Here is a 14,817-nt window from a genome sequence, read left to right as displayed (position 1 = left end):
ATTACGCGGAAGTTATTGCCTTGTGTCAAAGATGGGAAAACGTTTGATTTTAATGAAGCCCTTTACATGTCAGTTATTTTTATAAAGCTACATTGCTTCTGAATACATTGTGTTTGGGAATGATGCTGTATGTATGTTTTTTCTTCATAGGGCAAATGTGAGAAACGAGTACAGGATGTAATTGAACGATTTTGGGATTTCATTGACCAGCTGAGCATCAATACTTTTGGTAGGTGATTTCCCCAGATTACTTACTGAGAGCTGAGTCAATTTCTGTGATGACATTAGAAAAGTGTGCTTTCAGAGTGATGTGCTTTAATTCTGCAGTAGAAGGTGGAACTATTCACAGCTTTAGTTATGAAACAACTTTGTTGGCTAGAATAAAATGAACTCATAGATAGTCTGTCCCCGTGGAGCTTGGATGCACAGATTTTCTGACAAGGGAAATAAAGTCAAAATACTGGCTTCCTTCTTTACCCAAAAATATCCATGTGATTAGCATAAGCATAGTTTAATGCTATAGACTGAATCCTGATTGATGTAAGAGTGTTTATTTGACTGAATGCTATATACTGAATCCTGCTTGATGTAAAAGTGAGCCTCATATTTTGCAGAAGCAGGGTATATCATGTTGTCACGAGTCCATAATTTAATCACAAAAATAATATCCAGGTAACAAAAACTTTGTCTTCTTAAGCATTTACTAGTAGTAGCATTCCATATTAATCTGTTGACACAGCTACTCCAGGTAACATGTTGAATATTCTGCAATCTCTTCCTGTCAGCCAGTATATGAGGGCTATTTCTTTAAAAGCACTTGGTATGGAGAGATGGTGTGGTGTAATACAGGCAGCACAGACATTCTGCTCTCGGTAGTATGTCTAGCCAGCAGCTCTGGCATTTGACACAATGGTAATATCCTAAGAGCATTTCACTTTAGATTTGTGAAGTACTTGGTCAAGACATTAACTGTTTGGAATTGTTCACAGGAAAGTTTTTAGCAGACAACATCGTTGGGTCTGTCCTGGTTTTCTCCTTGATATTTTGGATTCCTTTCAGCATTCTTGTCCATTGTGTGGTAAGTCATCAACTTTTAAGTAATTAAATGTTTTATTTAAATTTTGATCAACTCCAACCATGTAATCTCTGGAAAAGGTAAAACTTGTTCTTAGCAAAGTTTGGCCTGATATTTCCAATAGCTTTTTTTGTTGTTATTCCTAGGGGAACATGTCTTGTAGAAAGCTTAACTAATGGTCTTTTAAAAAAAATACTATTTTTGTGTGTTGGTGTTTTAATATATAAATTTCTTAGGAATTTTATACTTTTAAGCATAGGAGACTGTTTAACTGGATTTGTCCAGGTCCTTTGATGAGTAAAGCCCTTATTGAAGAGCATTTTCAGGCTGACTTCGTTGCAATAGAGCAAATATCAAACATCGGCATTTCAGATGTTCCCCATATATCATGTAGATTATTGGCAGCAGATGGCTATGTCTTCAGCCTTCTGCACAAATAGGATGTAGGGACTGGGGCCCAGCTGTCATATAGAGTATTTACATCTTCCCCAAAAAATAAGAGTAAGCAGTCTTTTCTGTTCTCATTCAGAATCAGTAACAGCTACAAGTTGAATTGGGCTTTGACTAAGGAACTCCTGGTCCTTTATAAATTTGAGGCCCTTTTTCATAAATGTTCTTACGAATCCATTCACTTGCATCTGTGGGGAATGGGGATTTGTCTGCTGTAGAGATGAGAAAGTCACACCCAGGCTTCCAGACTTGTTTTCCCAAACTCTTTCATAGTGGCCTTCCTATGAGCATTTAAAAATTCCAGCACAACTCTGATGACAAAGGAGTTTTTCCTACTGCCTCCTTCCTTTCCTTTCCTGCTGGCTTCTCCTGCCTAGGGGCCATCTCACAGAGCAGCTCTTCCTCAGGGTGGTGAGCATGATGGGTATAGGAAGATCTCTAGGGAGCACTTGTGCTGAAGAAAGCTGAAGGTGACGTGCTTGAAGCTTTGACAGATGTCTCTGGATGACAGTGCCATCCATCACGATTGCTTCTATTGGAGGATGGAACCTATTTTGTTTACAGGGAAGTTGCACATGTGGACAAGGCACGACCCTTGATTTCAGAGCAAAGCCTCCGATAGGAGGGAGGGCCATGGCTTGTTTTTGGTCATAGAATGCATTGATGGCACCCAGACAGGAAGCCTAGTCCTGGATTCTTGGTCCTTGCCCTCTGTCACCTATTATGCTTCAGCCACAGGCAGGGATGGGGCAGCAGATGGCCATGTGGTTAGCCTTCTGCAGAAGTAGGATGTAGGGATTGAGGCCCAGTTCCTCCAGCAGAGCATGGTCCACAGAAACTGTGGAGACAGCTAAGAGAGTGAGGCCATGGGCCGGGGCAGTGCGAAGAATGCTGCAGGCCCAGCCACCTGGGTCTTCCTACCAGTTGCCCTTCCAGTCAGTGCGGTCCTGGTGTACCCAGCATCTGGGACATTTGTCATTTCATGCACAGGAAGATGCCTTTATTATTCCCCTGCCCACAGAGGGATAAATTTCTCAGAAAACATAGCACTTAAACCTTGCCTCTTTCTGTACTTAACGCCAAAATGTATTTCCTTTGAGTGCAAAGGAAACACTTCTAGACTGGTGGCATAACTAAAGCTTGGGTGAGAAATGGATTGTCATCTGTTGAGCCTGCTATCACTTTCTACAACTCAGGTTCTAAGTTCTTCAGTTAGTGTTAGGAATAGCCTGTGATGAAATAGTACTCACTAACTGAATTGTATTTGTAGGGAATGACCTTCTTGCTGTTTCTTTCTAGGATAAGAAATTGGATAAACAGTATGAATCTCTGTCTCTGTTTCACCCCAGTGTAAGTATACCATATGAAAGAAACATAATCTTCGCCTGGTCTGAGGCCCTGTTAGGCAAAGACCTTCACCTGACCCAGCAAGAGCTTTCACTGGCTGATGGAAGGTCATGTTGCAGCAGGAAGGGTCTAGGTTGGAATGTTTACCCTTCTGACAACAGTGATGGTGAACTTCGATTAGTTGCATGGATGGACATTTAAAGAGCTGTGCTGTCCCCTTCCCAAGCCATAAGGAGTGATTTAGCCATTCAACACTTAGTTAATATTTTGAGTTCAATTTCTCTCTTGGGATCTTACCTTGAGAGGTTTGAATCCTCTTTTGGGTCTTCAAATGGTAAGTAAGTTTTCAGGATGCTTGAAAGCTAGTAATTACTGTTTTTGCCATTAAAAGTAATGGCATTAATTACTTTTGCACCAACCTAGTATTTTTTAGTCACTTAGGTTGAGTGAGCCTCACCTAGCACTTTTTTCTTAGCATCACAGTGCCAACAGAATAAGAGGCTGTTTGATGGGTAAGGGTGGAGCTGTGAGGACCTCCGATTCATCTTTTATTCCTATCAATCAATTGAACCCATGTCTTTGCAGAACGTCGAAATGCTGAGCAGCATGGATTCTGCATCGGTTCGCATTATCAAACCCTTTCCTGCGCCCCAGACTCCAGGCCGCCTGCAGCCTGCCCCTGTGATCCCTTCGGCGCCAGCAGCTCCAAAACTGGACCACCAGAGAATGGACACCATCCAGGAAGACCCCAGCACAGACTCACATATGGACGAGGATGGGTTTGAGAAGGACCCCTTCCCAAATAGCAGCACAGCTGCCAAGTCATTTGAGGATCTCACGGACCATCCGGTCACCAGAAGTGAAAAGGCTGCCTCCTTTAAACTGCAGCGTCAGAATCGTGTTGACAGCAAAGAAACAGAGTGCTAATTTAGTTCTCAGCTCTTCTGACTTAAGTGTGCAAAATATTTTTATAGATTTGACCTACAAATCAATCACAGCTTGTATTTTGTGAAGACTGGGAAGTGACTTAGCAGATGCTGGTCATGTGTTTGAACTTCCTGCAGGTAAACAGTTCTTGTGTGGTTTGGCCCTTCTCCTTTTGAAAAGGTAAGGTGAAGGTGAATCTAGCTTATTTTGAGGCTTTCAGGTTTTAGTTTTTAAAATATCTTTTGACCTGTGGTGCAAAAGCAGAAAATACAGCTGGATTGGGTTATGAATATTTACGTTTTTGTAAATTAATCTTTTATATTGATAACAGCACTGACTAGGGAAATGATCAGTTTTTTTTTATACACTGTAATGAACCGCTGAATATGAGGCATTTGGCATTTATTTGTGATGACAACTGGAATAGTTTTTTTTTTTTTTTTTTTTTTTTGCCTTCAACTAAAAACAAAGGAGATAAATCTAGTATACATTGTCTCTAAATTGTGGGTCTATTTCTAGTTATTACCCAGAGTTTTTATGTAGCAGGGAAAATATATATCTAAATTTAGAAATCATTTGGGTTAATATGGCTCTTCATAATTCTAAGACTAATGCTCTCTAGAAACCTAACCACCTACCTTACAGTGAGGGCTATACATGGTAGCCAGTTGAATTTATGGAATCTACCAACTGTTTAGGGCCCTGATTTGCTGGGCAGTTTTTCTGTATTTTATAAGTATCTTCATGTATCCCTGTTACTGATAGGGATACATGCTCTTAGAAAATTCACTATTGGCTGGGAGTGGTGGCTCATGCCTGTAATCCCAGCACTTGGAGAGGCTGAGGTTGCGCCACTACACTCCAGCCTGGGTGACAGAGTGAGACTCTGCCTCAAAAAAAAAAAAAAAAAAAAAAAATTCACTATCTACAAACCTAGAATATTTAAAATACAAAGATTGCCTGTTTTCAAACACTATTGAATAAGAGGGTGAGATATTTCTTAACAACAACAACAACAAAAAAAACAGGTTGTTTTGAATGTGATGAGCCAGCCAGGAGATAGAATACTACCTGCCCTTAGGGTTGGGGGCTGTCCCCACAAGACTTGATACTTCAGAAACCCTTTTTATTGACCCACAAGCAGATATTTGAATTACTTCTTACTTTATTGCTCCAGGATTCTGGATGGGCTGCATTTACTGTGTGAAGGATAAAAATCATTAGCCTGGATTCTGATTTCTATAAATTGCCATTAAAAGCTTTTTTTCCCCTAAGAACTGAAATGTGCTCACCAGCCAAAACATTTTAACTTGTAAATTTTGAGGGCAGTTAACCAAACCTGTGACTAATCATATCTCCTCCTACCCCCCATTTCCAAGGACATTTGTTACTCAGATACTTGTTATACTAATACTTGAACTTGTACCTTATGGTATTTGCTATCTTTTAACTAGTCATGATATTCTTATACTTTAGTTACACTTTTGGAATTTGATACAAGGTTGAGTGGGGTGTGTGGGTGTATGTATGAGTGAAACAGTTCTCAAAAGAATGTAAGAAAAACCATTTTTATAAAATTGTGACTTTTTAAAAACATAGTCTTTGTCATTTATAGAATTAACAAGCTGCTCAGGGTATATTTTATAGCTGTAGCACTGATATCTGCATTAATAAATACTGTCGAAACACAATGGACCTAAGTATAAAACTTCCCTGAAAAATCATCTAATACTTTTATTATTAATATCAGTGGCAAAGGTTTAAGCCTGAGGAAAAAAGCGTACCTCTACGTATTGACAACTTTGAGTTCTGTAGATAACAAGCAGATTTGGGTCTCCTGTGATTGGCTAATGGTCTCCATCTCCCAGCAGACTTAATTCAGGTTTTGCTTCTGCTACATCCCGCCAGTAAGGAAGCAGCAAAGGTAGAGAAGAGACCTTTTTCTCTATCAAAGGCCAGAGATGCGAGAACAAAAATTCATTCCCCTTTGGAGACAAATGTAGTCCATCTGATAAATAAGATGAGAAGTCCTAGAAGGGAGAGAAATCGGTTAAAGGTGGGTAACTGGCCACGTGTGGTAGCTCACCCCTGTCATTCCAACACTTTGGGGCCGAGGATTACTGGAAGACAGGAGTTTGAGACCCTGTCTCTACAAAAAATTTTAAAAATACAAAAATTAGCTGGGTGTGGTGGCAAACACCTGTATTCCCACCTACTTGGGAGGCGAAGATGGGAGGATCACTTAAGCCCAGGAGTTGGAGGCTACAGTGAGGTATCATTGCACCACTGAGTTCCAGCCTGGGTGATAGACTGTCTCCCCCCACAGCGCGCGCGCGCGCGCGCACACACACACACACACACACACACACACACACACACACACACACAAAAAGGCCGGGGAGGGAGGGTATAACTTTTCTAAATGCCAGTGTGTACCATTCTCTCATTTGTGGCCCTGCGACAGAAATATCACCAGCCCCTTTCATTGTAGGCATCTGACCAGAGGTGTCTTGGACTACAGTAGCACTGATGTGCTATTTACGTAGGTGTTTGAACACACAGAGAACCCTGACTAGTGCTATAGTGCTGTCTCCATATTATAGAATTGAGTTTCATGAAAGTCACTCACCATTAAGTGAGCTGGGACCTCATTCCAGGTCTTCTGAATCATATGACATGATTCTCAGGTTATTTGAAAGAACCTTAACAGGTAAATATGGCCTATTAACGTAATCAGCAAAAATGAAAAATTTGGTATTAGGAGTGTTCAGGGGCCCCATGAGTCAATATTGTTTTTGACTCTAGGCAGGTTTTTAGGCAGAAAGAACTTCTACCATCTAACCTAGAACAGTAATTGCTGGGACACAGGAGTCCAGTCTCCCTCCCATTGCCCTGAACTCAAGAGTACATATTTAAAAAGATACACATATTTTTGGAGACAGGGTCTTGCTTTGCTGCCCAGGCTGGAGTGCAGTGACATGATCATGGCTCACTGCAGCCTCAACCTCCTGGGCTCAAGCGATCTTTCTAACCTCAGCCCCCTGAGCAGCTGGGACTACAGGCACGTGCCACCATACCTGGCTACCTGGCTAATTTTTGTGCTTTTTGTAGAGATGGGTCTCTCATTATGTTGCCCAGGCTGGTTTTGAACTCCTAGGCTCAAGCAATACTCCCACCTTGGCCTCACAAAGTATTGGGATCACAGGCATGAGCAGCCATACCAGGCCCTGAACTATAAGAATTTTACCCATACAGCCATTTCTTTCTTGGGGAAGAATCTCACTAGCCAAGAGCTCTGTTAGAATCTGGGTGGCCAACTAGCTTATGTGACTTTTTTTTTTTTTTTTGAGCTAGAGTCTCACTCTTGTTGCCCAGGCTAGAGAACGATGGCACAGTCTCGGCCTAATTCAACCTCTGCCTCCCGGGTTCAGGTGATTCTCCTGCCTCAGCCTCCCAAGTAGCTGGGATTACAGGTGACTGCCACCACGCCTGGCTAATTTTTGTATTTTTAAGTAGAGATGGGGTTTCAACATGTTGGCCAGGCTGGTCTCGAACTCCTGACCTCAGGTGATCCACCTGCCTCAGCCTCCCGAAATGTTGGGATGATAGGCATGAGCCACCGCGCCCGGCCTTATGTGACTTTTAATAGACCAGAAATTTAGATGCTATCATATAATAGTAGCACTTCTTCTTCGGCCTTGGTTTTCTCATCTAGGCAGTTTGAGATGAGATGATCTCTAAGGACGACCCTCTCAGTTTTGTATTAAATTGAAAAAGACATGTGAGCAAAACTAGCCCAATAGTTTGCAGTTTCCTTTCCTAGACAACAGAACTCTAGATGTCGACCCTTTTGGCACTCAAGCTGCCAAGGCCCCTCCTAATCTGGAATTCTGGAAGGTTCCAGTACTCCAGGGTTTCAGAGGAAGACTAGAGGCCTAGGGTCCAGATCTGCTTAGGCTCTCAGGGCCTCCAAAGGTGACTGGTGACTCGGCATCCACGTGGTAGTATGACTTTCCCACTGGTGACCATTTTCCCTATTACAGATGGATAATAAATGTGTAGGTCATTGGAACGATTGGTATGGATTAATATTTAGGGGAGAGGAAAAAGTTGGCACTTGGGTTAGTTTCTTGGCTGTTTTCTATGTTGCTTTGTCCAAGTAGCCTAAACCTAACAGCTAGGAATAGAGGAAACCGGTGAGGCTGTGAGTCTTCCCGTTTGTCCAAAGAGCTTCCCGCACACTGGATCCTTCCTTCCCTTGAGTACTTCAAATATCATCAGTCCCGTCCAAGCTTTCTCTCTGGATCCCAGCATAGCAATGAAGTAGCCTTTAATGTGCCCTACTGAACAAGCTCTTTACAAAAGAGTAGCACAAGGTCACAGAAAAATTAAAAAAGACCAGTGCCTGTCTGCCCCTCTTCACCAGTATCTGTGTGGAACCTGAATTTAGCCATACCTTTCCTTGCCCTAACCTCTGGCCACCATGGACCTGTTCTGTTACTGCAGTCTTGCCTTTTTTTGGGGGGTGGGCTGGGGAGGGTGAGACAGTCTCCCTGTATCCTCCAGACCGGAGTGCAGTGGTGTGACCTCTGCCTCCCGGGTTCAAGCGATTCTCACACCTCAGCCTCCTGGGTAGCTGGGATTACAGGCGCGCTCCACCATGCCCAGCTAATTTTTGTATTTTTAGTAGAGACAGGGTTTCGCCATGTTGGCCAGGCTGGTCTTGAACTCCTGAACTCAGGTGATCCACCTGCCTTGGCCTCCCAAAGTGATGGGATTACAGGTGTGAGCCACCACACCCAGCCCAAGTCTTGCCTTTTTGAGACACCAAAACAGATGGACTCATGTAGTAAGTAGCCTTCAGAGACCAGCTTCCTTCCCTCAGTGAAGCGCCTCGAGAGTCACCCACGTTGCTGCGCTTGTCAGTTCCTCCTCTTTATTGCCGAGTAGTATCCCATTCCACGGACACACCAGTTTCCCTATTCATCACAGAAGGACACTGGCGTGTTTCCAGCAGGTAGGAATAATGCTGCTGTCAACAGTTACACCCAGGTTCTGTGTGAACATAGTTTTCATTTCTCTAGGGCAGATAACCCAGGAGTGGACTGCCAGGTCCTCCCTAAGTGTATGTGTGACTGCGTCAGAAACCAGCTGTCTCCTGAGTCAGTGCACCATTCCATGGGACCTGCTTTTTACCTTTTATATTTGTGCTTTCAGGCTTTAAAACAAAGTAACTTAATTAGAACTACATATCTCAAACAGTTTTATTAGCCAATACTGTATTTAAATTCATTGTTTTACCTATTAACAAGTTTTAGCTTTCTGCCATTCTCTGTATGAAAGAAGAACTTGGCCTGGACGTTCATAAATATGAGCCATGTGTTGCTCATTGATGTCACTGCGCACTAACTCCTAGCCAAGGAGCCTGGCTGAATTAAGCTGCTGGGCTTGTGAGCCATCCTGGAACCTCCATTCCTCCCCTCCCCCAAGCCTGTTTGTTTTCATTGGCTAAAGGGATGACTGTCTTAGCTAAGCAGGGCCTTTCTAGGGAAAGCTGCTGCACACACACCTGGTTTACTTCTGTGTGATCCTATTTACCCCGAGAGGACCGAGCAAGCCACCGTACCTGGCTGTCCTGCATCAGGGTCCACAGGTCAAGTACGTCAGTCCCACAGTCTTGGGCCACTTGTAAACACGCATTGGCATATTCACCAACAACAGAGTTCAGGCGATTTAGTTTGCAACCTATTGAAGAGAAGAAATAGAGGTGGCAGTTGGTAAACCCAAGTGCTGGCCCTTGTGTAAGTTCTGCTCCACTCATCTAGACAGTTTCAAAATGCCATTAAATATTGACCCCACTTGGGCCAGCCCCGGGGTTTAGGGTATATGTTGATGAGCCTTGCAGGTTACTGGTGTGCTGCTCTACCCAGCAGAGGACAAGGTGCAGTGGGAAGAAGGAGCCTTCAGTGGTAACCGGAATCTTCTGAGGCGCCAGGGAGGATGTTCTAGAGGACACCTTGAACAGAGGCAGAGAGGCAGGAAAGGCCCAGGAGGGCTGGGCTGCTTGGAGAGTGCCGGCTGCAGGAGCTGGGCTGGGGGCTGGTAAGGGCTGCACTAGTAGGAAATGCCAGGCCATGGAAGCTGAACGCTGCGCTGACACCGCTGGCTTCTTACATGTAACAGCTGGACCGCAACACAGCAAAATCATTTGTCGGCTTTAGACAAAGAGACCTTCGTTTTGATGCCTACAATTTTCACTAAATAGCGGTGTGCCTGAACAGCTTAACCGTCCTGAAGCTTTCTGCATTCTTATGATGACAGTGCCTACCTAGTTGCAGGAATATTGGCAGGATTAAGAGACTAAACACCAGCAAAGCAGCTAGCACAGAACGATTGAGTGTATCTAACACAAGTGCAGGCTGCCTCATCCTCCCAGGGAGCTGCACCAGGGAAGGCTGGAGTGCAGTATCTGGGGATTGTGCTAGGTTGGTTTGGAAGGTGGGGCTGGGGCTAGGGGAGAAGGCTCAGGAGGCTGCAAACAGGACAGTGAGGGCTGGCGAGAGGCGGACTACAGAATGGTATTAAAGAGAAAGCATGAGGATATGGGCAACTGGATGCGGGCCACAGGAGGACCTATGCTGGCCCAGGCTCTACATCACAGCGAAGAAACTATTCACCAGCTTTGATTCATACTTGGGATCAATTGTTTATAAAATTCACCTAGATTATAACTAGCTACCCCATCCCTACAAAAAAATTTAAAAAATTAGCTGAGCATGGTTGCACATGCCTGTGGTTCCAGCTACTTGGGAGGCTGAGGCAAGAAGATCACCTGAGCCCAGAGGTGGAGGCTGCAGTGAGCTATGAGTAATCCACTGCCCTACACAGCCTGGGTGACACAGCAAGACCATCTCAAAAAATAACCTGCTGAATTTCTAGGGGACCAGTTATTGAGATGTGACCCCTCCTCTACCTGCTTTGCCCATCACTGACCTTTTAAAAAGTCTGCATTGGGCTACATTCAAGGCTAGAAAGGGGAAATGAAATTAAACATTCAGAATTTCATATATATTATTTTCCTGGGAAACAGTAGACAAAAAGAAGTCTAAACAGCTTCTGTGGACCATGCTATGTAACATTTTTCCCCTTTTGTTAAAGCCAAGATGACACTGCCCCCCAAAGCAGTTAGGGCTGCAGGCCCAGAAGCAAGCTGGGGCTCTGAAGTTGTCTCCAGGGGAGCTTTGTGGGCCTTAAACACCTCCCCTTCCCTGCAGAACACTCTGGTGTCTCATGCACAGCAATAGGGCCCCTCTGCCCTGATGTGATGCCCAGAACCTACTGTCACCACGTCCCGCAGGCTGGGGTTTCTCCCCGTTTGTCTGTGCCTCCGGTGTGTGGCACCCCTTGGCATATGCTGTTTGTGACTTGAGAACGCATTGGATCCTTCTCTAAGGATGACAGGCCCTTTGAGAGCAAGGGACATAGCTACAACCCCACTCAACAGTAAACTCATACAACAGTAAGGACTTGAGCTGTGAAGTCACACTTGCTGGATTTGATTCCTGGTTGTGTTGCTGGCTGTGTGATCTTGGGCCGGTTACTTAGCCTCTCTAAGACTCCATTTCTCCACTGGTAAAGTAGGGACAATAACAGCCTTCCATGAAGTTGTGGTATGTGTGCTGTGGTGTGTGTAAGAAACATCTGGAGTGCTGAAAATGGGTCCAGAAATCTACCTAAAAATCCCAGTTAACTCAGAGTCAGACCACACTTTGAGAAATAGCTGTTCTGTGTTGCAAAGCCAGTCATTTGTCCTAGAATGTTGAGTTCTGGGCAGCTTAGAAAACTTCCAGTCCAGGAACGGTGGCTCACGCCTGTAATCCCAGCACTTTGGGAGGCTGAGTCGGGCAGATTACCTGAGGTCAGGAGTTCGAGACCAGCCTGGCCAACATGGTGAAACCCGTCTCTACTAAAAATGCAAAAATTAGCCGGGCGTGGTGGTGCACACCCATAATCCCAGCTACTCAGGAGGCTGAGGCAGAATTGCTTGAGCCCAGGAGGCAAAGGTTGCAGTGAGCCGAGATCGTGCCACTGCACTCCAGCCTGGCTGACAGAGCCAGACTCTATCTCCAAAAAAAAAAAAAAAAGAGAACTTCCATAATGCACATTTTCAACATTAACATACAGCTGACCCTTGAACAACACAGGTTTGAACCGTGAAGGTCCACTTATGTGCAGAGGTTTTTCAGTCAAAGGTGGATTGAAAACACAGCACTTGAGGGATGTGAAACCCAAGTATATGGAGTGCTGGCGACTCCTATCTGATCATTCCTACCCCCAGCTTCTGTGGACCAGTAAAAAGCCCCAGGTGTGGACTTCCAAGTCAAGGCACATCAGCATCAGCCCCCGCAGGCCGAGCACCACAGCTCTACACAGATCTCAGTGGCCTTCATGTGCACCCTGGAGTCTGGTAACTGTAAAGGTCAGCAGATGCCAGGCCCGCGGTTCCCTCCTGACTATCCAAAGCCAGAATCCCTTTTCTAGGTCAAAAAAGGTCTCAGGTATAACATAATGGAAGCTATAATTTAATAATTTTGGATTGAAAACAGACTGAAATGGACATACCGAGCCCCTAAGAAACAGAAGCCCCAGGCAGGAAACCACTGTCCTATCAGAGTTCCTCCCTCAGCATTCCTATCCAGATTTGCCGAGATTGGCTGTGGTTTGTTTACCTTGTATGATGCACTGTTCTTCCCAGGCTGTTTCACAAAGTGGGGTCGGCGTGATGAGAATGACTCGATTCTCAGGGATGTCCACGGACTTCAGGTACTGCACCATGCTCTTTAGGTTCGCAGCGTACTCCTCCAGGGGAATGTGCTGCTTGGGATTCTCATCTGCTCAAGAGAAACATGAGTCCTCACCAGATGCATATTTATTATAAGTGACAATTCAGGTGAACACACTTCTGCAAATGCCTGTTATTCATGATGTCACTGGGGGGATTGTTTAACACCAAGGACACAAAGAGAAGGTTTTCTCCTTATGAATTAAAATGTATAGTTCTTCATAAAACAAGACTTCAAAGGCTCTAACTAGGGGCACCGTAAGTACTCTTGTCTTTTCGTCACTAGTATCCAGATGGTTATTACATCAATTAGGTTGAATTTGTAAAGAAATTAAAGAGCCCACCCTGTTGGGTGAGACGGCCTAGGTTCAAATCCTGGCTTTGTCACTCCTCGCCACAGAACCGCAGATAAATACTTAGACTTTCTGTACCTCATTGGGAAAATGAAGATAATAAGGTCTCCCTCCTAGGACTGAAAATCAAAACAGCTAAGAGTTTACAGCACTGAGAGCAGTGTGCCTTCACAAAGCAAGCACTCAGTCTAAACAAATGGCACCCACGAATACTACTATTATTGCAAAGGAGTATTTTCTAGATAGGCTCTCACTGAAGTATTACAAGGGTCATTGTTTACCATTTGCTAACCACATGTAAGTACAGTATAAAGGAAAAAAGTCACCAATGTTCCTACCACCCAGAAAACCACTGTTGGCATTTGGATGTATATCTTTCCGGTCTTTTCATGAAGATACATACACTTTTAAAAAAATGAGTTTGCACTGAAGATTATATTCACACTGAAGACTTCATATTTTGCTTTTCTCTACAAATTGTTTTAGAGACAGGTTCTCGCTCCATCACCTAGGCTGGAGTGTAGTGTGATCACAGCTCACTGTAACCTTGAACTCCTGGGGCCAAGCGACCCTCCCACACCTCAGCTTCCTAAGTACTGGGACTACAGGCACGCAACACCACACTAGGCAAACTTTGTTGTTATTGAGACAGAGTCTCACTCTGTTGCCCAGGCTGGTCTCAAACTCCTGGCCTGGCCTCCAGTGTTGGGATTACAGGCATGAGCCACCACGCCTGGCTCACATAACATATTATGAGCTTTTCTGTGTCCATAAATAGTTTGCAAAAAAATGAAATTTAGTTGTAGGGTGACCACATGATGTTTCCGTACTGTACAGCTTGTAATCTACTGTTATATATAAATAGCAATACACGGCCAGGTGCGGTTGCTCATGCCTGAAATCCTAGCACTTTGGGAGGCCGAGGCAGGTGGATCACCTGAGGTCAGGAGTTCAAGACCAGCCTGACCAACATGGGGAAACCCTGTCTCTACTAAAAATACAAAAATTAGCCAGGCGTGGTGGCGAGCGCCTATAATCCCAGCTACTCGGGAGGCTGAAGCAGGAGAATCATTTGAACCTGGGAGGTGGAGGTTACAGTGAGCCGAGACCGTATCACTTCATTCCAGCCTAGGCAAGAGTGTGAAACTGTCAAAAAAAAAAAAAAAAAAAAAAAAAAAAAAAAAAAGCAATACACAGAAATCTCCGCACACACATCTGGCTGCGTATCTGAATATTTCCTTAGGTTGAATTTCTACACGTGGGCCGTCCCTTGGCGCATATTGCCACACAGCTTTCCAGAGGATCACAAGCTATTCTCTCACCAGGAATGTAAGAGTTCCAATCTTATTTCATGCGTGTCAGCTGTAAGTATTACTGCTTCATATTGCTTTTCTGAGTCAAAAAATCAAAATACCTTGTTTTAATTGGCATTTTTTGATAAGTTTTCACACATTTTCAAATATGTATTTGCTGTTAAATTTCGCCTTTTATCTATTCCTGTCCTTTGCCTACATTTTCTATTGGAGTTGGTATTTTTCTTATTGATTTCTACACTAAAGACATTACTCTCTTGTCTGCCACATTTTGCAGATATTTTCCTTAACACATCATTTTCTTCTTCAGTTTTTTCGCAGCCTATTTTATTTCATAAACCTGTTTTTCCTCTGTGGCTTCCTCCACTGCTCTTATACTTAGGAAGTGTTTTTTCCTTATGCTAAATTTGATAAAAATTTATCTTTTTAAAAAATTCTGTTTTGAGTTTTCTTATGGTTTTTGGTACAAGATAGAAAGTGAAGATTAATTTCTTCCCAAATATAATGGTT

General features: G+C 43.9%; 2 protein-coding genes across 26 annotated transcripts in view; one reads left to right on the top strand and one right to left on the bottom strand.

Annotated features, from left to right (window-relative positions):
* Positions 1-5,490, top strand: part of ADAM17 (ADAM metallopeptidase domain 17) — a 67,345-nt gene extending 61,855 nt beyond the window's left edge. For all 6 annotated transcript variants that reach the window (NM_003183.6, NM_001382777.1, NM_001382778.1 and 3 more), the window contains 4 exons: positions 151-229; positions 990-1,078; positions 2,825-2,875; positions 3,458-5,490. In NM_003183.6, coding sequence (NP_003174.3) covers positions 151-229; positions 990-1,078; positions 2,825-2,875; positions 3,458-3,799 — 561 coding nt within the window. In that variant the 3' untranslated portion in view covers positions 3,800-5,490. The remainder of the gene's footprint in view (positions 1-150; positions 230-989; positions 1,079-2,824; positions 2,876-3,457) is intronic.
* Positions 1-14,817, bottom strand: part of IAH1 (isoamyl acetate hydrolyzing esterase 1 (putative)) — a 38,597-nt gene that overhangs the window by 18,433 nt on the left and 5,347 nt on the right. For 15 of the 20 annotated variants that reach the window (XR_007073108.1, XR_007073110.1, XR_007073106.1 and 12 more), the window contains 3 exons: positions 12,529-12,690; positions 9,426-9,544; positions 5,584-5,829 (listed from right to left, as the gene is read on the bottom strand). Coding sequence is in view for 5 of the 20 variants with exons in the window: in NM_001039613.3 (NP_001034702.1) it covers positions 5,647-5,829; positions 9,426-9,544; positions 12,529-12,690 (464 nt within the window). In the remaining 15 variants the exon portion in view is untranslated. Of the gene's footprint in view, positions 1-4,233; positions 5,830-9,425; positions 9,545-12,528; positions 12,691-14,817 lie in introns of those variants that run through there. The other 5 variants (NM_001039613.3, NM_001320863.2, NM_001320859.2 and 2 more) reach the window with 1 other exon arrangement.

Source organism: Homo sapiens, chromosome 2 (assembly GCF_000001405.40).
Source record: "Homo sapiens chromosome 2, GRCh38.p14 Primary Assembly".
Classification (NCBI taxonomy): domain Eukaryota; kingdom Metazoa; phylum Chordata; class Mammalia; order Primates; family Hominidae; genus Homo; species Homo sapiens.
The sequence above is the reverse complement of the archived record's forward strand: the minus strand, read 5'-3'. Positions and strand labels throughout refer to the sequence as shown.